The following is a 26830-nucleotide window of genomic DNA, read 5'->3' on the forward strand; positions in this document are numbered from 1 at the left end:
CAACATGGCACATGTATACATATGTAACTAACCTGCACGTTGTGCACATGTACCCTAAAACTTAAAGTATAATAAAAAATAAAACAAAAAACAAATTTTGGTGAGGATGTGGAGTAAAGTGAGCTCTCGTACACTGCTGGTAGAAGTATACATTGGCACATCCACTTTGGAAAACAGTTTGGTATTCAGTGTGTGAATTTGAGACAGATATCCCCCATGAGCCAACAACGCCACATCATTATATACCCCTAGACTAACCTACGCACATAGACACCAGAGTACAAGTCTGAGAAGGCTAATGGCAGTGTTATAATAGTTCCAAACTGCAAAGAATCCAAATGCTTACCCAGTAGAGTGCATTTTAAAAGTGGCATATTCAAACATCACACTGAATGGGCAAAAGCTGGAAGCATTCCCCTTAAAAACTAGAACAACATGAGGATGCCCACTTTCACCACTCGTATTCAACATAGTGCTGGAAGTCCTAACCAGAACGATCAGGCAAGAGGAAGAAATAAAAGGTGTACAATTTTTTTTTTTAAAAAAAGGAAGTCGAACTATCTCTCTTCGTGAATGACATAATTCCATACCTTGTAAAACCCTAAAGATGCCATGAAAAGGGCACTAGATCTGATAAACATAGTAAGTAAAGTTTCAGGATACAAAATCAACGTGCAAAAATCAGTAGCATTTCTATACACCAATAACATTCAAGCTGGGAGTCAAATCAAGAACACAATGCCATTTACAATGGCCACACAAAAAAATACAATACTTAGGAATACTTAACCAAGAGGGTGAAACATCTCTAAAGCAGAACTCAAAAACGCTGATAAAAGAAATTACGGATGACACAAATGGAAATGCATTCCATGCTCATGAATTGGATGAATCAATATTGTTAAAATGTTCGACCGGGCATGGTGGCTCACGCCTGTAATCCCAGCACTTTGGGAGGCTGAGGCGGGTGGATCACTTGAGGTCAGGAGTTCGAGACCAGCCTGGCCAACATGGTGAAAGCCTGTCTCTACAAAAAATACAAAAATTAGCTGGGTGTGGTGGCAGGCACCTATAATCCCAGCTACTCAGGAGACTGAGGCTTGAGAATAGCCTGAACTTGGGATGCAGAGGTTGCAGTGTGCCAAGATCATGCCACTGCTTTCTAGCCCGGGCAACAGAGAATCTGACTCAAAAAAAAAAAAAAAAAAAGTCATAGTGCCCAAAGCAATTTACAGATTTAACACTATTGCTATCAAATCACTAATGTCATTTTTTGCAGAATTAGAAAAAAAAATCCAAAATTTACATGACATCAAAAAGAGCCTGAATAGCCAAAGAAATCCTGAGCAAAAAGAACAAAGCTGGAGGCATCTCATTACCCAACTTCAAACTATACTACAAGACCACAGTAACCAAAACAGTATGGTACTGACACAAAAGTGGACACATAGATCAATGGAACAAAACAGAGAGCCCAGAAGTAAAGCCACACATCTACAACCAACTAATCTTCCCACCCTTTAATACTATGTATAATTATTATTTGTGTCAGGATAAGTTGAACTAGTCATTGTTGAATAGAAACAAAGTTGACAAAAATAGGCAATGGGGAAAGGACTCCCTTATTCAACAAATGGTGCTGGGAAAACTGGTTAGCCATATGCAGAAGAATGAAACTGGACCCCTCCCTATCGCCATATAAAAAATTAACTCAAGATGGATTAAAATCTTAAATGTAAGACCTCAAACTATAAAAATCCTAGAAGAAAACCTAGAAAATACCCTTCTGGACATCAGCCTAGGCAAAGAACTTACGACTAAGTCCTCAAAAGCAATTGCGACAAAAACTAAAATTGACAAGTGGGACAAAATTAAACTACAGAGCTTCTGCACAGCAAAATAACAGAGTAAATATACCACCTAGAGAAATGGCAGAAAATATTCACAAACTATGCCTCTGACAAAGGACTAATATCCATAATCTATAAGGAATGCAAACAAATCAATAAGCAAGGAACAACCTCATTAAACAGTGGGTAAAGGACATAAAGAGACACTTCTCAAAAAGAGACATATGAGTGGCCAACAAACATATGAAAAACTGCTCAACATCACTAATCATCAGAGAAATGCATGCCGAAACCACAAAAAGACACCATCTCATACCAGTCAGAATGGCCATTATTAAAAATCCAAACAATAACAGACAGTGAGGCTACAGAGAAAAGGGAACACTTACACACTGCATGTGGGAAAGTAGATTAGTTCAGCCACTGCAGAAAGCAGTTTGGAGATGTCTCAAAGAACTAAAAAGAGAACTACCATTCAATCCAACAATCCCATTACTGGGTATCTACCCAAAAGAAAATAAATTGTACTACCCAAAAGATACAAGCATACGTATATTCATTGTAGCACTATTCACAGCAACAAAGACATGGAATCAACCTAGATGCCCATCAGTGATGGACTGAAAAAAGAAAATGTGTTTCATATACACCATGGAATACTCTGCAGCCAAAAAAAGGATGAAATAATGTCCTTTTCAAACAACATAAGTGGAGCTGGAGGCCATTATCCTAGTGCAATTAACACAGAAAACCAAATATTGTATGTGAGAGCTAAATATTGGGTATGCACAGACATAAAGACAGGAATAACAGATGCCAGAAACTCCAAAGGAAGAGAAGGAGAGAGGGGGGCAAGGGCTGAAAAACTACCTGTTGGGTACTATGTTCACTATGTACATGATGGGATCAACAGAAGCCCAAACCCCAGCATCACACAATATACCCTTGTAACAAACCTGCACACATAGCTACTGAATCTAAAATTAAAATTTTAAAATAATTTATAAATGAATGTGGCATATTCATATACAAATAAAACACTGAATATGAAAGAACTCCAGGTACCTACAGTGATGCTTTGATTCAATGTATATGTTGAATCAAACAAGAAAGAAAAACACAAAATGTATACAGTATGATTCCATTTATGTAAAGTTGAAAACATGCAATGCTAAAGTATGATGTGTATGGATACATACAAATACAGTACAACTACAAAGCAAAACTATGTTGTTTTGGATGACGTATATGAGGAAAATCTATCCTCATAGAGAAATGTAGTTGTAAAAGTGAGGAGTATTTTAGTAGGTTTTTCAAATAATTGTAGGATATTCTTTGATATCACTCTGAAACTTGACAAGTGATAGTTGCTTAAAAGCTAGTGGCACTGTGGAATCTAACATGACATCAATGAACATTTTGTACTCTGTTACTCTAAAATCCATTGGTCTAGCTTACACTTCAAATGAATCTTTTATTCATGCATAATTTTGCTACATCATGCATTAGTCATCTGGAAAACATTAGCTTGCTGAGTTATGAAACTTTTTCAAATGTTGACATACTATATATTATGCAATATCAAAAATCACATTCACTAATATTACCGCCAATATTAATGCAGAATTTAAGTGCTGGTAAGCTATTTAGGTCATGTTTTAAAGAATATGAATGTTGACTGGAAAGCAACAAATGGTATTAATTGTTTTAACTGAGAGACTTACCCTCATCATTTTTGAAAAAAAAAATCTTTGCCATATAACAAAGTCTGAGTAAACATAGTTTGTCAGTCATTCTTTCAGGTAAAAGTGGTGTTTCATGGAAAAGGGGGCCAGTTCAGCTTGCAACTGAAACAACTGCACAGATGGTGATTTCGTTTTAAGACCACCATCATCATATGCAGCAGAAGTGCTCAGAATATTAAAACGACTTGTAGTCAAGGGTCAATATTTAATAAAATGAATCATTTTTACTGTTTCATCAGGGACATTACTAAGGGAAATTAGCATTTACTTTTACATTGTGCAAAACAGTGAGGAATACAATGACTAATGGCGCAGTTTGATGCCACAAGCTTGATTCAAGCTAAGGTGCCAGCAGTTTTACCACCATTACTTCTTGTACCATGGCCCAAATGTTCACATAGTGAAAAAGGCAAATGACTTTTTTTTTTTAAGCAAACTCCCAAAAAAAGAAATCTCCAGATCCAGGCAGTGTCACTGAAGAATTCTACCAAATATTTATTTATATTTCCATAGGTTATTGGGAGACAGGTGGTGTTTGGTTACACGAGTAAGTTCCTTAGTGGTGACGTGTGAGATTTTGGTGCACCCATCACCCAGGCAGTATACACTGTACCCTATTTCTAGTCTTTTATCCTTCACCCCCTTCCCACTCTTTCCCCAAGTCCCCAAAGTCCACTGTGTCATTCTTATGCCTTTGCATCCTCATAGCTTAGCTCCCACTTATGCATGATAACATACAATGTTTGGTTGTCCATTCCTGAGTTACTTCACTTAGAATAATGGTCTCCAATCTCATCCAGGTTGCTGCAAATGCCATTAATTCATTCCTTTTTATGACTGAGTAGTATTCCATCATATATATATATATAACCTGTGAGATATATATATATATATTATATATATATATATATATTATATATATATATATATATCTCACAGTTTCTTTATCCATTCCTTGATTGATAGGCATTTGGATCAGTTCCACATTTTTGCAATTGAGAATTGTGCTGCTATAAACACACATGTGCAGTTATCTTTTTTTGTATAATGACTTTTCTCTGGGTAGATACCAAGCAGTGGGATTGCTGGATCAAGTGGTAGTTCTACTTTTAGTTCTTTAAGGAATCTCCACACTGTTTTCCATAGTGGTTGTATTAGTTTACATTCCCACCAGCAGTGTAGAAGTGTTCCCTGTTCACTGCATCCATGCCAACATCTACTATTTTTTGATTTTTTTGATTATGGCCATTCTTGCAGGAGTAAGGTGGTATTGCATTATGGTTTTGATTTGCATTTTTCTGCTCATTAGTGATGTTGAGCATTTTTTCATATGATTGTTGGCCATTTGTATATCTTCTTTTGAGAATTGTCTATACATGTCCTTAGCCTACTTTTTAATGGGATTTTTTTTTCTTGTTGATTTGAGTTCATTGTAGATTTTGGATATTAGTCCTTTGTCAGACATATAGATTGTGAAGATTTTCTCCCACTCTGTGGGTTGTCTGTTTACTCTGCTGGCTGTTCCTTTTGCCATGCAAAAGCTCTTTGGTTTAATTAAGTCCCAGCAATTTATCTTTGTTTTTATTGCATTTGCTTTTGGGCTCTTGGTCATGAAATCCTTGCCTAAGCCAAGGTCTAGAAGGGTTTTTCCAATGTTATCTTTTAGAATTTTTATAGTTTCATGTCTTAGATTTAAGTCTTTAATCCATCTTAAGTTGATTTTTGTATAAGGTGACAGACAAGAATCCATTTTCATTCTCCTACATGTGGCCAGCCAATTATCCCAGCACCATTGTTGAAAAGGGTGTACTTTCCCCACTTCGTTTTTGTTTGCTTTGTTGAAGATCAGTTGGCTGTAAGTATTTCGGTTTATTTCTGGGTTCTCTATTCTGTTCCATTGGTCTATGTGCCTGTTTTTATAACAGTACCATGCTGTTTTGGTGACTATGGGCTTATAGTATAGTTTGAATCATGTAATGTGATGCTTCCAGATTTGCACTTTTAATATTATTATGAAAATCATTTTGACATTGTGAACCTCCTGAAAGCTTCTCAGGGACCCCAGGGGTCCACAGACCACAGTTTGAGAACTGCTGGAGTAGGGGTATGAAGGAGGTTCTCCTGGAATAACTGGTTGGTCTCCTTATTAGTCTAGTTGGCTGGCACAGAAGGAAGACGAAGAGAGTGAGAGAGACAGAGAGAGAGAGAGAGATGGTGTGTGTGTGTGATTATGTGTGTGTTCCTCTGTGTTCGTGTGTGTGTGTGTGTGTGTGAAAGAGAGAAGAGAGATAATTCTATTTAAGGAGGAGAGAGATGAAGGGAAGGTGGGAAGAGGGGAAGTGAAGGTGGGAGAGAGAATAAGGGAAGATAGGAGAGAGGGAAGGAGGAGGAATGGAAGGAGGGGGAAAGTGAGGAAGTATTAATAATATGTGGCATACATGGTTTTTTAGCCTGATGGTGCCAGAAGCATTTGAAAACACAAGAGAACTTCTTCATATATCTGAGGGCGAGCTAGAATGCTACAGGGTGAGAACTCTCAATGGGGCCTTTCCTGTCCATTAGTATCAGATAGGAAGCATCATGTAAGGAAAACCTAAACTGTGCAGTCCTTAAACAAAAGTGCTAGTCTTTGGCTGGGCACGGCAGCTCACGCCTGTAATACCAGCACTTTGGGAGGCCGAGGTGGGTGGATCACGAGGTCAGGAGATCGAGACCATTCTGGCTAACACGGTGAAACCCCGTCTCTACTAAAAATACAAAAAAATTAGCCAGGCGTGCTGGCGGGCGCCTGTAGTCCCAGCTACTTGGGAGGCTGAGGCAGGAGAATGGTGTGAACCCAGGAGGTGGAGCTTGCAGTGAGCAGAGATTGCGCCACTGCACTTCAGCCTGGGAGACAGAGCGAGACTCTGTCTCAAAAAAAAAAAAAAGTACTGGTCTTCAACGTCAAAGAAATTTTCAAGTAAGAATGGTGTTTTCACTGAAATGCTTCTCAATCTACCTTCGAGCTTTGGCCTTGCCTGTTTGCTTGTTTTCCACCCAGTGGCGGCCTAGGTCTGTTAACAGACTGGCAGCCAGGCAGGCAGCAAGGCAAACAGGGGGTGTGCAGTGGCTGGTGTTGTCTACCTGGTGTCCGCTAGAAAGGGGTTATGGGCTTAAGCCTTCTGCAAAGGCGTATCATGAGTCACAGAGCAAGGGAGCAGAGCTGAGGACTCCAGCCTCACCTCCAGTGGGGACTCCGCTGAAGATGAGCCCAGCTGCTGCCCCTTGCCCAGTCTTGCCCCACTGGCCATGGAGTTAGCTGTGCCCAGTAACACTTCAGCGCCTGTGGACACCTGCTTTCAACTTCCACACCTCTGACTAAGGGCCTGTGGGTCCTCTGTTGCTTTTTCTTTCTAAACACAGAATAACTCTTTTACAGTGTATCTTTCTTTTTATTTTGTAGTTTGAGTTTTACATTATTACCATTCATCATTATTTTAACTTCTCTTTACTTATTAAATTGGAACAGGGATTTCTCCTGCAAACAATAATTGTGAGAATAATGTAGACATTAAAGAAAACCTTTTTGTTTCTCCTCTCAAGGTACTTTTCAGGGCCCTGGAAATGTCTATAAGACAGTCTTGCCACTGTGGTCCCAGAGAAGGCCATAAAGTCAGTGCTGACGCACAAAGTCACTGTCCTCGTGATGTAATCAACTATGGCCTCAATGCTCCATCCCCCAAAGCTAACATGGCCAGGGTGACAGAGACAGGGCTGCCCTCTCATCCATTCACTGGGTCCTTTCTGAGGACAGGAATGCATAAAAACCCAGTGTACCCAACACACACACACACACACACACACACACACACACACACACACACACACACACACACACTGCTTTTAGTAACTCTGAACCAGCTCAAGTTAAATAAGAATATGGGGATAGCCTATGCAAGATAAATAAATTAGATGAAATCAGCTTACAATTTACCATTATTTGGAATTTTGACAAAACTTCTGGCCTCACACCAGCTACTGCGGACCTAACAACTACTCAGCATCCCTCTTGCTTCTAAGGAACAGTACGCACAAGAAAGCAGTAAAGATTGTATACTGGGTATGTGGGGGCCACCGAAGTTGCTCCATGACATAGAAATGATGGCAGGAAACCATCCTCTTCCTCAAAGCAGGAGATCTCTCCTGTCTCCTCGGAGCCACTGGAATGCCACTGGACTGAGCAGGGTTAGATGGCACAGGCACACATCACATGGAGGCTCTTTAACCTCTGTCCCTGTCCAGATGAACCCAACTTCACTGTGCTGTCATATCCACTCCCATACCCCAGCTCCTGCTTTTCTCTAAGGCAGAGGCAGATCTCATTAATCCTGCACCTCCTGGTGCTGAATCTCCAGGGATCTTAAGTTGGAGCCCAGACAGCCAGGGATCTAATTCTAACCCCAAAGTTTGGGGAAGTTACTTCATCTCTTCTTTTATACAATGTGGATGGAAATGGCGCCTTCCTCATAGGGTTACTGCAGGGATGAAATGAAATAATATATATATTATATATATATATACGTTTATATATATAAAGGGTTCTTGGCACAGAGAAAGGACTTGCTAGAGGTTAGATCTCACTATACCACTCCTAGTACCACTGCTACTGCTACCACTTAAACACAATGGTCAAGAGGACAACTGCAATATTATTTCCAATAACCCCAGAAATACATAAATACATAAATCAATGTAACAAGGAGATTTGGGAGCCAGCCCCTGGACATTACCAGCCAGCCGCAACGTATTCCCATGTATTGTATTCCCATGAATTGTACCATGGGCAACCCTGGCCCTAAGGAGACAAAATCTCTCTTCCAAGACACAAACCCACAGTCACTAATGAAATGTCAATTACATTTCAAAGTGTAATTGTGGGTCACTTTCATCTGGACAAAGCAGTTTATATGGTAAATTAGAATTTGATAAGGAAGCCCTTTAAAATAATTCTATAGAATTCTTTGAGCATTGTCAGTGCCTTGAGTAAACAAATATTCCACAAAAATTAATAGGAGGATGTGAAGAGGCTTTCACAAATGAGGTTGACCCACTGATGATCGTTAGAACAGATGTGGCAAGATCTGTGTCACCCCAAAACAACGGCCAGATTCTCACTTGAACAAGCATAACAATATTCAATGCTAGGTAGTTTGACATATTTTAAGGGAACTCACAAAAATAAATGTCTTCGATTTTTATTTCATATGAATCCTAAAACGTAGGTTTTCATTTACTTTTAATGTTGACAAATTATCAAAATGGACTGAGGGACCTTAAAAGTCATGTAGTCAAAGTTCAAAAACTGCCTCAAGATAGCTACCTCCTCTTAAACACATATAAAACTGTAGAAATGGATAGTATCATTTAGATAAAGGGAAATACCAACATGTCTGTCACACACACACACACACAAAATCAAACACACAAACAAGCAAAACAGGAAACAATAGTGCCTTCCTGCTAAGCATGTGGTCATCGCCCTCTGGGCACACAGCCAAGAACGGCCCTGCTGTGTAAGTCAGGAGCTTCAGCTGGTCTCATTCTACTGAGTCTTTCTCCAATCTGGGCCTTTGACTCTAAAATTAGCAGGTACGATCACACAAACTCTGCAGAAACCTCCCTTCCCCGACGCTCTTCTAACTGCATTTTACAAGCATCCCACATCAGTGCCAGAACTGTATTCTCCTCTCTAGCTATGGGAATACTGCTCGAACCAGAGAGCAGACATGGTCATTTATAAAGACTATGACTTGCATTGGAACATCACAAAACTAATATGTTCTAAAAATATATAGCAATCAACAATTCACCCATAGTGGGGAGGATTATTTTGCTTCAGCTCAAGACTTTGCCAAGCTCCAGACCTGGAGCTAATGGCTTCTTTGACATCTCCAACTGGATGAAGCACAACTTCCTCAAACTCAACACGACTCCATCAGAAATCATCAAATCTCCACTCAACGCTGCACCCCACCCAGTATTTACCATACAAAAAAAACTGGGGAGCTTTTTTAATGTCCTGATTTAGCCTGGGCTTCAACCACAGTGATTTTGATGTAATTTTGATTTTGATGTCTGGGATGCTATCTAGGCATTGAAGTGTTTTTCTGACCTGCCCCCTCCAGGGTTTAGAATCACTGCTCTAGATATTTTAAATCCCTAATAATTTAATGGGTCTACACCTCCTCTCGTGGGTTGTCAATCTTAAAATGCTCTAAGATTGCTATAACCCTCCACCCAGGGACACTGCAGTCCATATCAATGTGCCATTGGGAGCTATGCAAGGCAGCAGCTCTGTATTTCCAGGCCTCGAGGTCTCCAGCACTCCACGCTCTCTTGTAGCAGCCATCAGCTCTGTCTCTGTATTAGAATCACTTGTGCATCTTTTAAAAGACACTAATGCTCAGAGATCCTGAACCAATGGGCTTGAATCCCACTGATAAATTTTTTAAAGGTCCCCAGGTGACCATAATATGTGGCCAGAGTCAATTACCACTTATTTGGCACCTACCCCAAAGAGAACTACTAATTTCTGCAAGGTATCCAATGGCCATGTGTGCATGAGTCTGCCCTTCTCAGGGCCTACATTCTGCTAATCCTGTCACTTCTCACACTTTCCTCCTTCTGAGTCCTGCTTCTTTAACTGCCTCACCTAATAGATCGTGGCTTACCACATTGGCATGCATTTTTGCCTTTTCGTTTTTGAGATGGAGTCTTGCTCTGTCACCCAGGATGGAGTGCAGTGGTGTGATCTCAGCTCACTGCCACCTCTGCCTCCCGGGTTCAAGCAATTCTCCTACCTCAGCCTCCCGAGTAGCTGGGATACAGGCGTGCACCACCATGCCTGGCTATCTTTTGTATAGTAGTGCAGGGTTTTGCCATGTTGGCCAGGCTGGTCTCAAACTCCTGACCTCAAGTGATCCTGCTGCCTCAGCCTCCCAAAGTGCTGGATTACAGGCATGAGCCACCACACCCGGCCAGAGTCATGCTTTTACACATAATATTCATGCTTTGTCCATGCTTCCCTCTACTCTGCATCACTTACTCTGGACTTGTACCAAACCTGAACATCACTGGAAAAAAATCTTAGAACTCTGATGACTAGGCTGTCTTCAAATTTATATCATATAGGCACTGAAAACTGCTAAATTGTTTTATTTTCATGGAAATTTCACTTTGTTATTCCCCAAGATGACAATTTCATACTTTTCTGTTTTTCTCAAATTTCCAACAAACTCTTTCCCTTCAGTCTCCCTTATAACTTTGCTACCTACTCCACACAGTGGTCTAATGGAGAACTCTTGATCTTCCCTATCATTATTCTTCAGCTTCTGTACCCTCATCCTTCATCCTTCTCTCACCTTACCTCCCTTTGGATGCTACCCTCCTCACCTGCTAAAAGTTACTAAGGGACATCATCCTTCCAATTAGCCCTGATTTCCACTGTTTCATCACTTCCTTCTTCTCTATATGAGATGTTTTTAAGTTGCTCATCTTAAAAATCAACTTCATATCTCCCTCCAGCTACCAATCCTTTTTATGCTGTCCTTTATAGCAACAATCTTTGAAGATTTATCTATACTCTCTGTCACCAAATGCTCACTTCTTCTCCCTTCATTTTATAAAGATACTTTCACTGGAATTAGAATTTTAGTTTTGCAGGGTTTTGTATTGAACACATTGAAGTTATCTTCCGTTGTCTTCCAGTTCCCAGTGTTGCTGTTAAAAGATATCCCATATTCATGGGCCAGAAAATGCAATGTTGCTAAGATGGCAATACTCCTTAGATTAATGTACAGATTCAACCCAATCCCTTTCAAAATTCCAGCTGGCTTTTTTTTCAGAAATTGACAAGCTGACCCTAAAATTCATATGGAAATTCAAGGGATTGAGAATAGCCAGGATAATCTCGAAAAACAAAGGAGGACTCACATTTTCTGACTTTAAAATTTATGATAAATCCACAATAATTAAGATAGTATGGTATTGGCATAAACCCTTGCATTTATGTCTGGTTGATTCTTTACAAGAGCAGCAAGATAATTTTGTGGGGAAAGAACAGGTTTTTTTGGGTTTTTTTGTTTTTTTGTTTTTTTAACAAATAATGGTCGGGCAACTTAGTATCCACAAGTGAATGAATAAAGTTCTATCCTTACTTCACACTGTACACAAAAATTAAGACAAGATTGATCATGAGCCTCCTAAACCTAAGAGACAATAGCATAACAACACTTAGAAGAAAACATAGCAGTAAATCTTTGTAATCTTGAGTTAGGCAATAATTTTGTAGGTACAATAACAAAAGTACAATCAACAAAAGAACAGATAAATTGAACTTCATCAAAATTACAAATATTTATAGTTTTTTCTCAAAGAACACTATCAAGAATATGGAAAGGCAACCTACAGAATGGGAGAAAATATTTGCACAATGTACATCTGATAAGGGACTTGTATACAGGATATATACAACTCAATAATAAAAACACAAATAACCAATAAAAATGGACAAAGGATTTGAATAGATATTTCTCAAAAGAATACATAAAACCAGTCAATAATCACATGAAAAGATACTCAACATCACTAGTCATTAAGGAAAAGCAAATCAAAATCACAACGAAATATAACTTCACACCCACTAGGATGGGTATAATAAGAAAGACAAACAATAATAAGTGTTGACAAAGATGTGGAGAAACTGGAAATCTTATACTCTGCTGGTAGGAACATAAAATGATACAGCTACTTCAAAAAATAGTTCAGCAGTTACTCAAAAGTTAAGCATAGAATTCCCATATGACCCAGACATTCTACTCCTAGGTATATACCAAAGAGAAATGAAAACATATCTGTATATGAATTGTCATAACAGCATTACTCATATTAGCCAAAAGTAGAAAAACCCAAATATCCATCAACTGATTAACAGATACATGCAATGTGATATATCCATACAATTGAATATCAATCAGCAATGAAAAGGAAGGAAGTACTGGTACTTACTACAACATGGATGAACCTTGAAAACATTAAGTGAAAGAAGCCAAACACCAAAGATAATATATTATATGATGCCATTTGTATAAAATGCCCTGATAAATCTGTAAAGACAGAAGATAGATTAATGGTTGCCTACAGAGGGGGGCATGTGTGTAAGTCACTGGTAATGGGTAAGAATTTCTTTTTGGGGTAATGAAGTGTTCCAAAATTAAATTGTGCGAATAGTTTCATATATCTGTGAATATACTAAAAATCAATAAACTGTACTTTTAGTGGGTGAATTATGGTATGTGAATTATATCTCAACCAAATTGGTTTTTCAAAACTAACAGTAAAATCAATGATGTGGTAGCAATTCTGCAGTGGCAGGAGTGGTGGCCACAGCTTCCAGGCATGTTCCTAAAACTCTGAGGGAGGGGAATTCTCCTCTCTGCCCACAGGAGCTGTGGTCTCAAGGGCTTGGAGCAAATCCTCATTGCTTTTTTTCTCTGTCCTCCCACCATTTAACCTCCACACAGATAAAGTCATAAAGTACAAGACAAAGCAGGGACACTAAAGCCCTGGCTATCTGATCAAAGGACACTGAAAGGAGCATAAAGAACCAGAAAGACTGTGAAGAGGAGGAGCTCAAGAAAGTAACCCTGTAAAGGGAGGTGTGATCTTCTGGCTCACCTCTGAGCTGTGCATGCACGAATCTAACCCTAAACAGTACACCAAAGGCTTTGATTATAGAACTATAGGACTAGCTATCATCCAGGTCCCAGGCTTGCCACTGAGTGGTGCGTAAGCTATAGAAGGATCCAAATAGCATAGCGAAAGCTCTGAAAACAGACTCAACTTTGGAACCACATCCCTGAAAGGGTCAGAACTTGAAGCCTGAACCTAGCTATGTAGATTGCCTGATAAAACAAACAAAATCAATATTCTCCTTATGATAAGACATAGAGTCTGATAACGTAATATTCCAAATGTCCAGGATTCAATCCAAATTACTTGGTACACAAATGACCAGGAAAATCTTTACTACAAGAAAAGAGAAAAACAACATATGCTACTCCGAGACGACAAAAATATTGGCAAAAGCAGACAAAAGCAGCTATAATAACCATGCTCCAAGACGTAAGAATAAACAAATGTAAAGACAGAAGTCAGCCAGGTGCGGTGGCTCACGCCTGTAATCCCAACACTTTGTGAGGCTGAGGCAGGCGGATCACCTGAGGTCAGGAGTTCAAGACCAGGTTGGCCAACATGGTGAAACCCCATCTCTACTAAAAGTACAAGAATCAACTGGGCCTGGTAGCATGTACCTATAATCCCAGCTACTGGGGAGGCTGAGGCAGGAGAATCACTTGAACCCAGGAGATGGAGGTTTCAGTGAGCAGAGATCGTGCCACTGCACTCCAGCCTGGGCAACAGAGCGAGACTCCATCTCAACAACAACAACAACAACAACAACAACAAAAGACAGAAGTCTCAGTAAAGAAAAAAGATATAAAGAAGAATCAAGTGGAAATTTTAGAGATGAAAAATACAATAGCTGACATGTAAAAAATGTTCTTTAGATGGGTTAAATGGCAGAATGGAGATAGCAGAGGAAAGTCACTGGACTTGAAGAGAAATCAATAGAAATTATCTAATTGGAACATCGGAGAGAAAAAAATGAAAAAAATTAAGAGACTCAGGAAACTGAGGGAAAGAATTCAAAAGGTTGAACATTTGTGTCACCAAAGTCCCAAGAAAGGAGTAAGAGTCTGGTGTGGAAAAGAAAATTTGACAAACGGTGGCTGAAATCTTCCCAAATTTAGTGAAAGACAAATTTATAGATTTAAGACACTCAGGGAACCCCAAGCAAAAGAAAATAAAAGAAATCCAGGCCCAGACAAATCATAATCATGTGGCTGAAAAACCAAAGACAAGATTTTTGACAAAAAGCCTGAATACAGCAAGGAAAAATCACCGCATTATAAATAGGAGAACAACCCTCTGAATGACTGCAGAGTTCTCATCAGAAACCACAGAGGCACAACATTTTTAAAGGAATGAAAGACAAGAACTGTTAACCCAGAATTCTATACTAAGTACAAATAATCTTCAAGAATGGGGAGGAAACAAAGATATTCTCAGATGAAAGAAAATGAAGAGAATTAGTCAATGGAGCTGCTCTGAAAGATATGTTAATGGAAGTTTCTCAGACAAGAGTGACACGGGAGGGAAACTTGAAACTTCAGAAATAAAAAGCAACAGAAATGGTACATATATGGATAATATAATAGATTCTTCTCATAATTTTTTTGTTACAAAACCCCAAATAATTTTAATCTCAATTTGCAACATAATCCACATTTTACATATCTATAAGCAATAGAAGTTTTAGTATACAAATGCCTTAGAAAGAATTCAATTTGGTCCAATAATTTTATAGCCAGGATAAAGTCATATTTATAATTCATAATTTTCTGTCAAGGTTTTTAATAAAAATCAGTAATGTTAAATGGAACACTATCATTTTATAGAGGAATAGTATGAAATTACATTGAGAAATGAGAATAGTCATTAAACATTAAGATTTTATTACAACCCAGGCATTATATATTTCTTTACACTTAAGGAATAGATATGAAACAATCTTGAAGTAAAAAATAGAAGGCAACTTGCTTCAAGTTTGTACCAAGTCAATCAAGCAGAAACTGAAGAACCTTGTTTTAAGATGAGAGTCATTTATACTTGGCAAGCGTTTTCTTCCAATGTAAAAATAAAGTCAATGTGCCATTATCTTGACACTTATAAAAATGTTTATAAAAAGCATTTAGGCCATTGATTCTCACAGTTGGATGAATATTGGAATCACCTAGATTAAAAAAAAATACTAATCCCTATACAACATCCCCAAAATTCAGATTCAATTAGTATAAATTAGGCCCTGGGCATATAGGCTGTTTTAAAACTCCTCGGGTGAGTCTAACGTGCACCAGTTTGAAAACCACTAGCTTAGAGACCTGTTCCATCATCATAGAAGTCAGTCTTTAGCTGAATGATTCTATATGCCCTGATTTCAGTGGGTAATGTTGTTATTTTAAGCATCTGATAGGTGTATCTCCCTTGATTAAAAAATAAATACCTTATGGAAGAGATTATATGTTTTATTTATCATTGTCTCCGCATATCTGGAATAATGAAAGGCACATAGCAGTTGCTAAATAAATATCTTTTGAATGAATATATGATTGCCTTATACTTCTTTTACATCCTCATCTTCTAATAGATTATGAAAATTAGAATTCAAAATATATATATTGAACAAATGAATGACTGAAGCAGTTGGGGATAATATTTAAGGCAAAACCAAATCTGATAAAATATATACATATTTTAAAAACACATACATATATATATAAATAGATCAAAAGTGGAAAAAGAATATATAGAAGAGTGCAACATTTGGCAGCTGAGAATTATTTCATTGAGTTTTCAAATATTCTTCACATTCTTATACTTAGAAACAAAGAAGTAACCCCAAACAACTAATTCATTAGCTAATATCTCAGAACTTGCACATGTGCAGATAAATTTTTTTTAAAAAACAGAATTACAGTTTAATCCCTAACACAGCTCAGTTTTCAAAATTCAAGTAAATAAAATTTTAGCACACATCATGATAGCCTTACTGGATAGCTGTGTTAAAAACAAAAAGTATATGTTATGTGCTCTCAATTGAGATCTAGTTAGTTTCCTAGGAGTCTCACATTGATAAACATCTATTTTGGCACTACCTTACATAATGTGTTTATTTAGAAATACCTTATTAATGACAGACTTCCTTTTGAGTAGCTACATTCTCAGATATGGCTTCATTTATCAAAGTTCCACAAGTATTACATACTTTTTAATTCAGCTAGTATCTTAGACTACAGAACTTTGGTTTTCTTAAAATCAGCATTGGTTGCTTGATTGTAGGTTTGTCACCAAAAAGTGCTGCTTCACTCTCCATGGTTGGAAATCTTTTCTGATATATCAAAGGATATTCCTTCTGAAACTATTTTAGTTTTTTTCTTTTCTCCTTTAGAGGTAAAGTCCTGTTTTTAACAATATTTTCTAAAAGTTCTGCAATTGCAGCTTGAGAGGTAGAAATTTTTTGCTCATCAAACTCCTGAGCACTAATCTGCTTACCGTATGAGTAAGTTGGCAAAGGAGCAAATAGTCCATCTCCAGGACTTTCAATATGTCCCCTTTTTAAGTAGTCAAGATGTTTTTCCACTGCAGTCTGCAAGTAAGAGGGTACTTGAAGAATTTCCTGATCATGATCCATTAAGAAAGAAACTAATCTTCCAGCAAGAAGCTCATCAAGGTCCACTTCTTCAGCACAGCATAACACACATTGAGAAACGGTATGTATCAACAGTGATCTCGCACCCATTGCATCATGAAGTTTGGGCATATCAACATTTTGACTCATTCGGGAAATCATACGCATTAAAAGTTGAAGCTTTCTATGATTTGGTGGGGGAAATAACAAACAACATAACTGTAGAGCATCGATGGCAACCCTCTCTAAATGAGGTTGCAGCAAACTTTGTGTGCCAGTCAACACAGAAGAAGCTGGAAGTAAAGAGTCTTCTGAAAGTTCTATTGTACTTTTGCAGAGTCTTTTATTGATTGTGGCACTAGACTCTCCAAGTTCACTTTCCATAGCTGTTTGCACACTTGTGCTGCCTTGTCCAACATTTGGTTTCATGGTAATTTCAGCCACTGGTGTATTGATAATAACTATTCCTTCTTGTACTACTTGTTAAAAGCAAACTCTGAGACCTTCAAAGCTGTTCTGACTTGCATTTCCCATTACACAACTCCTCTTGGTCTTGAACAATCAAAGTAGAGGTTCTCTTAAAACCAGCACTGAATGGCTTTTGAATATTTTCCTCTGAATGAAGATTCAACAGGAATTCCTGTTTGGGCTTAGACTCTAAAAACAGTTTATTATTTTGTCCTTCTATGTTCGGAAAAGATTGATGGAAGACACTGGATGCCTCTTTACTTGAATTCCCTGACACATCTACAATTCCTTCCAAAGAATAGCACCTTGGTTTGCTGTTAGAGGATAGATCACGCATACTACTTAACCCTATTAAATTATGACAACTTCCTCCCATTATGTCATTAGCACTCACTCTTCTGTTTCTTAAATTAACTAGCTGCATTTTCTTAGCACATCTTTCTTGAAATCCTGGATTGCTTATCTGTAGTCTCTCAGTAGAATCTGATTCTTCTTTATTTTTTTTTCTCTACGAAGCAGACTGAGAAGGCGGCACTCAGTTGATTTGAAGGAACTCAAATTGTTTAAGTGAAGGAATTTTGAAGACTGGGGATCATCTTGGATTTTATGTATCCCACTGGATCTATCTGAAACTGTTATGTAGCCACAAACAACTACCACGAAATGAAACAAAAATGAAGATGCAACCAAAATGTTCACAAGTAATTCGTAATATTCAAAAGTAAGTAGAGGTTCAGGGAGATCTAGAAAATAATCTGTGATTGTTCTGAATACATGTCATTCAAATCCAACATAAGTTGGATTATTCATATCATTGCTTCTTGGCCAATTTGCTAGGCACTTCATGGCAGATAATACCCAGTGAGGGAGGTCATCTGATTTGTTTTGTAGTATAACTACTCCATGTTTACTTGTATTGGCCCCATTATATATTGGGGAATTACTTGTTTTGGATTTATGACTTCTTCTAGGGATGGCACACCTAAAATAGTTTGCAGGTAGATCAGAATAAAATATCTCCAAACTTCTTCAACGTCTTCCTGGCTTAGTTCTCTATCATCAACTGCATTTTCTTGATCTTCATTTATTATTTCATGTTTTATTTTCTCGGCATTTTCCTGAGATAAATGTAATCCATGCTTTTCAGCAGTTCTACGAGATAAGTTTTGTAATTTAAAAATACTATCTTTATCTTTGGAAAAGTTCTCTATGCTGTTTTTTCTCAATTCTGGATGCCTTCGTGGTAGAGTTTTAAGTGGCAACGTTGCAGGAAATCTGAAGAGCTGGTTGTTATCATCAACATTTTCTGATCCCCACCTCCCTTTGATATCTTCAATTATACGATTCTTAAGAAATTTCCTCAACAGTTGTTGCCTTGTAACTTCAGGACCAAAATTGCTATTATTTCTTAATAGGTCATAAAGCCAATCCCCTGCTTCTCCTGCTGTGAAACAATTGCCATATTTTTTAAAGTGTTGTCTGTGTTTTCTTAGAGGCATTCCTGCTCGAAAAGATGTGGTAACTTCATTCCACAGCTTGGTGGCCCGATAAGGCCCGGGAGGCACAACCCGACTCTCCACAGGTCTGTCAGCGTCCGGTGGCATCCATGGCAGTGTAGGTGACACTCAAGACCCAGCAGCCCGGGCAGCGGCGAGTCTCGGCACAACCATTGGCTCTGCCGCCAACTTGTATAGCATAGAGGGCTGCGTGGATTGGCCTCACAATTTCTATACAATATCTATAAAGTAAAAGTGATGCCAGGCATGGTGGCTTATGCCTGTAATCCTAGCACTTGGGGAGGCCAAGCCAGGTGGATCGCTTGAGCTCAGGAGTTTGAGACCAGCCTGGGCAACTTGACGAAACCCTGTCTCTACCAAAAATACAAAAATTAGCTGGGCATGGTGGCACATGCCTGTGGTCCTAGCTACTCGGGAGGCTGAGGTGGGAGGCTCACTTGAGTCTGGGAGGCAGAGGTTGCAATGAACCGAGATCGTGCCACTGCACTCCAGCCTAGGTGACAGAGACCCCATCACAAAGAAAAAAAAAAAAAGTGATAACACTGGTGGCACTTTCGGCGTCTGCAGATGTAATACATAAGACACCTACAACATAAAGGGGGTGAAGTAAAGGGACCTATATGGTGGTAAGGTTTCTACATTCCATATTGAATAGTTAAATGTTGTTCTACACAGACTGTGAAAAAATAAGTATGAATATTGTAATCTCTAGAGCAATCACCAAAAAGCATACAAAGAGAATATAAAAACAGAAAAGTTAAAATAGAATACTAAAAAAATTCAAGCATCCCAAAGATAGGAAAGGGGAAACAGGTACAAAAAAGAAAGAACAAACAGTAAACAAATAACAAAAAACTGTCCATCTAAGTACAAACAAATCAATAATTAAATGCAAAGGGCTGAAATATGCCAACTAATAGACATCGATTATTGGAATGAATTTAAAAATAAGACTCAACAATATGCTTTCTCTATGAAATCCACTTTAAGTTCAACAAAATACATAGGTCAAAAGTAAATGATGGCCAAAGATATGTCATGAAAACATTAATGGAATCAAAGCTACAGTAGTTCTATTAACATCAGATATATTGTCATCAGATACAGTAGACTAGAACAAGGGAAATTCCAAGGATTAAGAGAGATAATATGTAATGATAAAAGGTTCAATTCACCAAAAAGAAAAAACAATCCCAAATGTGTATGCACCTAACAACAGAGCTTCAAATTACATGAAGCAAAAAATACCTGGAATACAGTTGGGCAGTTTTTAAATAAAATTAAACATATACTTACGCATGACACAGCAATCTCATTCATAGATACTTATTCTAGGGAAATGAAAACTTAGTTTTCCCAAATGCCTGTTCACGAATGTTCATAGCCACTTTATTTGTGATAATCCCAAACTAGAACCTCCCAAATATCCTTCACAGTGTGAATGAATAAACAAACGGTGGTGCATCCACACAATGACATACTTTTCAGCAATAAAAAGGAATTAACTATTGATTTCACACAACAAGGATAAATCTCAAATCTGCTATGCTGAGTGAAGGAAGCCAGTCCAAACATAATACATAGCATATGATTCCATTTTTATGACACCCTGAACATAGCAAAACTATAGGGGCAGAGAGCAGATTAGTGGTTGCCAGGGGTTAGTTAGGAGTAAAGGAAGGGCTCACTACAAACGGGCAGCTTGGGGGAGTTTTGCCAGGTGATGAAATTGTTCTGCACACTGATTGTGATAGTGGTTAAATAAAATCTATATGTGTGTTAAACTCAGAACTATACAACAAAAAGTCAATTTTGCGGTATGCCAATTCAAAAAATAAAATTAAAAATGTAACTATATTAGAAAAGACAGGTATGAAATTAATAAGCTAAGCATCCACCTTAAGAAACTAGAAAAAAAGCAAGCTAAACACAAAAGCAGAACAATGAAAACAACGAAGACCAGAACAGAAAACAGAAAAATAAAATATCAAATGGTGGCTCTTTGGAAATATTAACAAAACTGACAAACCCTTAGTCAGATTACCAATAATTCAAGAGAGTACAGAAATCACAAAAATCATGAATGAAAGAGGGGACACTGCTATCAAAACTACAGACACCAAAAGTATTAATTACATGGGAATATGAACTACTTTATGTAAAAAAGTCAGAAAACTCATATTAAGTGGACAAATTCTTAGAAATATACAAATTACCAAAGATTATACAAAAAGAAAGTAGAAAATCTGAATAAATCAATAACAAGCAAAGGAATTAAGCTGGTAACAATACTCTTCCCACAAAGTAAAGTCCACCCTGAAATGGTGTCACTGGTGTATACTACCAAGGACTTAAAGAAAGTATAATATTAATCCTTCACAAATGCTTTCATAAAATACTGGAGGAGGGAACACTGCTCAACTTATTCTATGAAGTTAGCTTTAGTCTGATATCAAAGCCAGACAAAGAAAAGAAACTATAGGCCAATATCCTTCATGAACACAGACATAAATGGTCTTAACAAAATATGAGCAAACCAAATTCAGCAACATATTTAAAAAGATACACCATGACCAATTTGAATTTATTCCAGTAATAGAAGGTTGGTTTATCATTAGAAAATAATGATATTATGTTAACAGAATAAATGAAAACGCCAAATAATAATCTCACTAGATACAGAACATACAGGAAAGCCTTTGACAAAATCTACCATCTATTCATGATAAAAAATTCTCAACAGATTAAGAATATAAAAGGACTCCCGCAACCTGACAAAGGGCATCTTTGAAAACACACAGCCTATATCAGACTTGACGGTGCAAGTGTGCATGCTCTGCACCTACGATCAAGAGCAAGGCAAGGATTCCCTGCGCTTGCCCCTCATGGTCCACATTGTACCAGAGGCTCTGGCCAATGAAATAAGAACAACAAATTAAAGGCATACATATTGGAAAGAAATAAATCTCAACTGACTTTACTCACAGATGAGTTTTTTAGAAAATTATAAAAAATGTACAGAAAAATTACTAGAACTAACACTTGAGTTTAACAAGGTCATAGAAGGGTAGATACTGAAAGAGGAAGAAGAATGTTTCTGTTCAGCTGCTTATGTTCTGTTTCTTGGTCTGGGTACCGGTTTATTGGACTATCTATTTGTCAGCTCCATTTAGATGTCTATCTGGCATCTCAAACTTAATATGCCAGATAGAAATACCGACTTTACTTTCAAATCCACATCCACTGGCAACGGCCCATGAACCATCTCCCTTCCCACCAAATGACATCAACATTTACGTGATTGCTTAGGTCAAACGCTTGGAATTGTCCTTGATTCCTTTCTCTTCCTTGCATCACGTATGCAATTCACCAGTGATGCCAGTGGGTTCCTCCAAATACATCATGAATGCACGTCTACTACACCACTCTTCTCCAGGCTACTATCATCCCTTACTTGAATGAATGCAACAGCCACCACAAAGAACTTTTAAAATGGTTAACTAGAACCTTATCTCCATCTCCACCTCCACCCTGACCCCAGCCTCCTGGCCTAAAATAACCAACAGCATCACAATGTTTGAAGTCTAAGTCCAAAGTCACTAGCATGGCTTCAAAGCCCCTGCACCAGACCCCCCTCTCCAACCTCTTCAGCCTCTCCCATGGGACACTTCAGCCTTCTGTTTGGCCTTAGAGCCTGCCAAACTCCTTCCTGACTTGTAGTGCTCATCCATGTTGTCTTGATGCCTGGACCTATATTTATTCTCCCTAACAGCCTCTTGTTCATGACCTCCTTCTCACTTTCCACAATGTTTAAAAAATATTTTAGAGTGGGGGCCGGGCGCGGTGGCTCACACCTGTAATCCCAGCACTTTGGGAGGCCGAGGCGGGCGGATCACGAGGTCAGGAGATCGAGACCATCCCGGCTAAAACGGTGAAACCCCGTCTCTACTAAAAATACAAAAAATTAGCCGGGCGTAGTGGCGGGCGCCTGTAGTCCCAGCTACTTGGGAGGCTGAGGCAGGAGAATGGCGTGAACCCGGGAGGCGGAGCTTGCAGTGAGCCGAGATCCCGCCACTGCACTCCAGCCTGGGCGACAGAGCGAGACTCCGTCTCAAAAAAAAAAAAAAAAAAAATATTTTAGAGTGTTGATTTATTTACCTGTAAACTGTTTATATCCCTCTGATAGACTAAAACTGCAGGAGGGCAATGCTATGCCTTTTTCATTCACCTCTATGTGCCCAGCATTTGCATAATCCCTGACAGATAGTTGGCAAGGGTACAGTGAGTAAAGGAATAAACGAAAAAAAATGATGAGTTGTGGGGCATACACAGACACTAAATCTGACGATTCTCCATGCACTGCATACACCAGGGATTCCCAAAGTTTGCTGCACATTAGAATTACTTAGGTAGCTTGGTAAAATCCCAATACACAGATTAAACCCTATTCAATCAGAATGGCTGGGACTGACAGCCATACACTAGGACATTTGAAAGCCCCCCAGCTGATTTCAATGTGCAGCAAAGTTGGGGAACTGCTGACATTTACTTTTTGAAATAAAAGCATATAAAAACAAACTCTTAAAAAGAAAAATATATTCCTTTTATGTATATTAAACATATATGAAGTTCAAATAGCACCTACAATATACTTTATAAGCCCAAATATATCTAGACGTGCTATCTTAAATTCTAACTGTGGTTAATATGCACAACCATTTTTACCTGTTAATTTGCAATGTATTAAAGAAGTTTGTATATAATGTCAAGTAATGCTACAGGAACACTTTGTTTCAATATTAACAATGTTGAAAGTGGTGTTTTTCTGTACTATTTTCAATTTTTAGCTGATTTTACTGGTTACTCGATACTACCTGGCTAATATAATTACAGATATGTATATTTTAATATGTAGATATAAACCTATCTATGTATCTGTATATATGAATATAAATTCTATAAACATTTAATGAACGATTATTATTTAGCATGTACTCCATTTAAATGACAAAATGCAGGAAACTGAAGATGGAGTTTTGTTTATATAAAACATTTACATATTGACATTTGCTAAGATGAGTGATATGTCCTTTGACAGAATTCATTATCTGGTGAAGCAACATCTTCCACACTCAGTCTAGTTAGTTCAGGCTGCTATAACAAAAATACCATTGAATATGTAGCTTATCGACAATTTCTCACAGTTCTGGAGGGAAGAAGTCCAACATCAAGGCACCTGCAGATTCCATGTCTGATAAGGGCCTGCTACCCATTTATAGATGGTGCCTTCTCCCCATCCTCACATGGTAGAAGGGGCAATGGAATGTCTGGGGTCCCCGTTATGAGGGCACTAATCTCATTCATGAGGGATACACCCTAATGACCTAATCACTTCCCAAAGGCATCACCTTCTAATATCATCACCTTGGGAGTTAGGATTTCAACATATGAATTTGGGGGAGGGGATACAAACATGTAATCTGTAATACCAGTTTAATCCCAGCTTCCACTATTAACCATCTATATAAATTTAGGGGACTTTGTTAATCTTTGTGTTTCAGTTTTTCATCTGAAATGTGAGAACAGCAAACTGGATGCTGGAGTTTTTGATGGGTTTAAATATATGAAATACACACACACATTTGCAGTCGACCAACAGATGCTTATGTAAATGCTCCACTCCTCAAAACATTTTAACATGCCATACAAATAGTGAATGAGATGGTGGGAGGCTGGGAGAGGCAATTTATAATCGACTCACAATCTGTTGACCAGCACCTTTAAAATTGACAACAAAAAGAAATAATTATCAGCAAATGCACTGTTTAATTGTCAAGAAGAACACTTTATCAGTCATTGAAATGAAGCTAATGGCACAGTGGGTAAAAAGTAAAAACAAGGCTATCTGAAGACATGCCCAGAGCAGCCACACAGCCATGCACTATGAGAGAATAGTCTGAGAGGCTTCTTTTCTTCCCCAAATAAAGTCCTCCCAGTTGAGCTCCATGGAAATGCATTCTGGAGTTGACGGCTGCTCAATGGTTTCCTGGGCCATACAAAAAGCCATGGGACAGCAGCAAATTCTGACGAGCAAGGTGCTCTCTGCAGCCCAGGAACAGGCTGAAGCAGGCTGCCAGCTGAGTCAGTCAGCCCAGGGACAGCTCCATAACCAGCCCTGCGATCACCCTGTGCCTTGCACCTAGGGGCCTCCTGCCGGCTCTTCATGACGCTTTAGACTGCTTTAAAATGTCTTATCACCAAAACATTTGAACACCTTGGAAAATACTGTCCTCTATGGAGGAGAAAAAGAGAACTTTGAAAGACCAGCCCAGAAGGAAAGTGAATGACTATCTGCCTGCCATGAAACATTCTGGCTTGAACTTGCCACTCTGAAATAAAGCTCCAGCTCCAGCACACTCTGTTAATGAGGACATGTTAGTATCAGGCACATAAACACAGTCAGGTGCATCTCCAGAGGGGGATCTCAGATACTTACTGCTAGTTGCTGATTACAGCAACATCAGTTTCTGTGCCACATCCAGAGATTTTTCTGCACACTTTTTATCAAGGCTTCAAACATGATCCCAGTTGTCTGGGAAATACTATCAGCCACTTAAGTTTCCCCTTAATTTAGGAAAGGAAGATGTATTTTCACCATAACAGCAAAAGCTTATAACACTTGTCTTTTAGAATTAAGAGTCAACAACCCAGGGGGATCCACAGACCACCCAAGTGGATTGTGACGTTGTCCTGGCCTTCTCGTGGGGGTCAGGCCATCTCATCAGGCAAGGACGACCCAATGCCTTCTCGGTGGAACAGTTTTGATTGAAAAGATAGTTAAAAAAAAAAAGTGATACTGCTGTAAAAAGAGACACAACATCACATCCAAACACATTATCCTCTCCTCTGACCTATGCATGCACGTGTGTACGCTCCCATGTCCATGCATTTACACACACACACACACACACACACACACACCCCTCCCCTCTTCAACACTTACCCATTCCAAAGTTTTATGGAGTTTCACTTTGACTACGCTAATCATCTTTATTCACTTTCTGAAAGACTCAGCTGCTCAAGAAAATAAAATGCCAAAATATATGGACCCAAGGCAGTTTTAAGACCAACACTGTAGATTCATTTAAAAATAACAAAAGCCACATATTCATTCATTCAACAAATAATTATGTAATGAGGATTATTTTAGGTGCTCAGCACACATCAGTGGATGAAAACCTCTGCCTTTGTGGAGTTTATACTCCAATAAGAACAGAGAAAAAAATAAATAAATTAAACAATAGGTTATGAGTCTGTAAGTGCTGTGACTACAACAGAAGACCTGGCTTGCTGGGCAGGACAGGGTGTCTGAAGAGTGGGTTGTAAAATTGAAGAGACTCATTGAGATGACATTTGTGCAAAAGCTTGAAGATCAACTGTGCAGATATCTAGGAGGAAAATACTCTTTGAAGCTGAATTTTTTAAGTAACAAAACGTGATCTGTTTTCCCCACAGAGGATACTACTCTCCTAACCCCGTTCTACTAAATGGGCTTGTAGTTTAAGGGGAAAAGATTTGCTCCTAGACGCCTGAAGGAATGAGTGTAGACATGGGCATGGCAGCAGGGGCAGGAGGCGAGAAAGGGAAGAATGTGAGTGTATCCCTCAGGACAGGTTCTGAATCAGCTGAACCTGGGGCTGGAAAAGCCAAGCCACATCCAGGGGAGAGCCTTGATTTCTCAAATTCATGTTTGATTTCCAGCAGCAGTGCATTCAAAGCTTAATTTCAGTCCAGAAGTCACCAAATTAATATCTGAGGTTAAAACGCACATACACATACACACACAGACACAGAACTGATGAACATTTCCAGGGAAAGACACACAGGGAAGAGTACAAGGACAGA

The 26830-nt window shown here is 38.6% G+C and overlaps 1 protein-coding gene, 1 long non-coding RNA gene and 1 pseudogene across 4 annotated transcripts in view; 1 reads left to right on the forward strand and 2 right to left on the reverse strand.

Moving 5' to 3' along the window:
- OTUD7A (OTU deubiquitinase 7A) overlaps nt 1-26830 on the reverse strand; it is a 395276-nt gene that overhangs the window by 273816 nt on the left and 94630 nt on the right. The gene's annotated exons all lie outside the window — the stretch shown is intronic.
- On the reverse strand, nt 14888-19072 carry DEPDC1P1 (DEP domain containing 1 pseudogene 1; annotated as a pseudogene).
- On the forward strand, nt 16242-26822 carry LOC124903455 (uncharacterized). Its single transcript, XR_007064558.1, has 3 exons — nt 16242-16327; nt 19398-19400; nt 26812-26822. It is a non-coding gene; the product is annotated as an uncharacterized LOC124903455 (long non-coding RNA).

The sequence above is a fragment of the Homo sapiens genome, chromosome 15, assembly GCF_000001405.40.
Source record: "Homo sapiens chromosome 15, GRCh38.p14 Primary Assembly".
NCBI classification, from domain to species: Eukaryota; Metazoa; Chordata; class Mammalia; order Primates; family Hominidae; genus Homo; species Homo sapiens.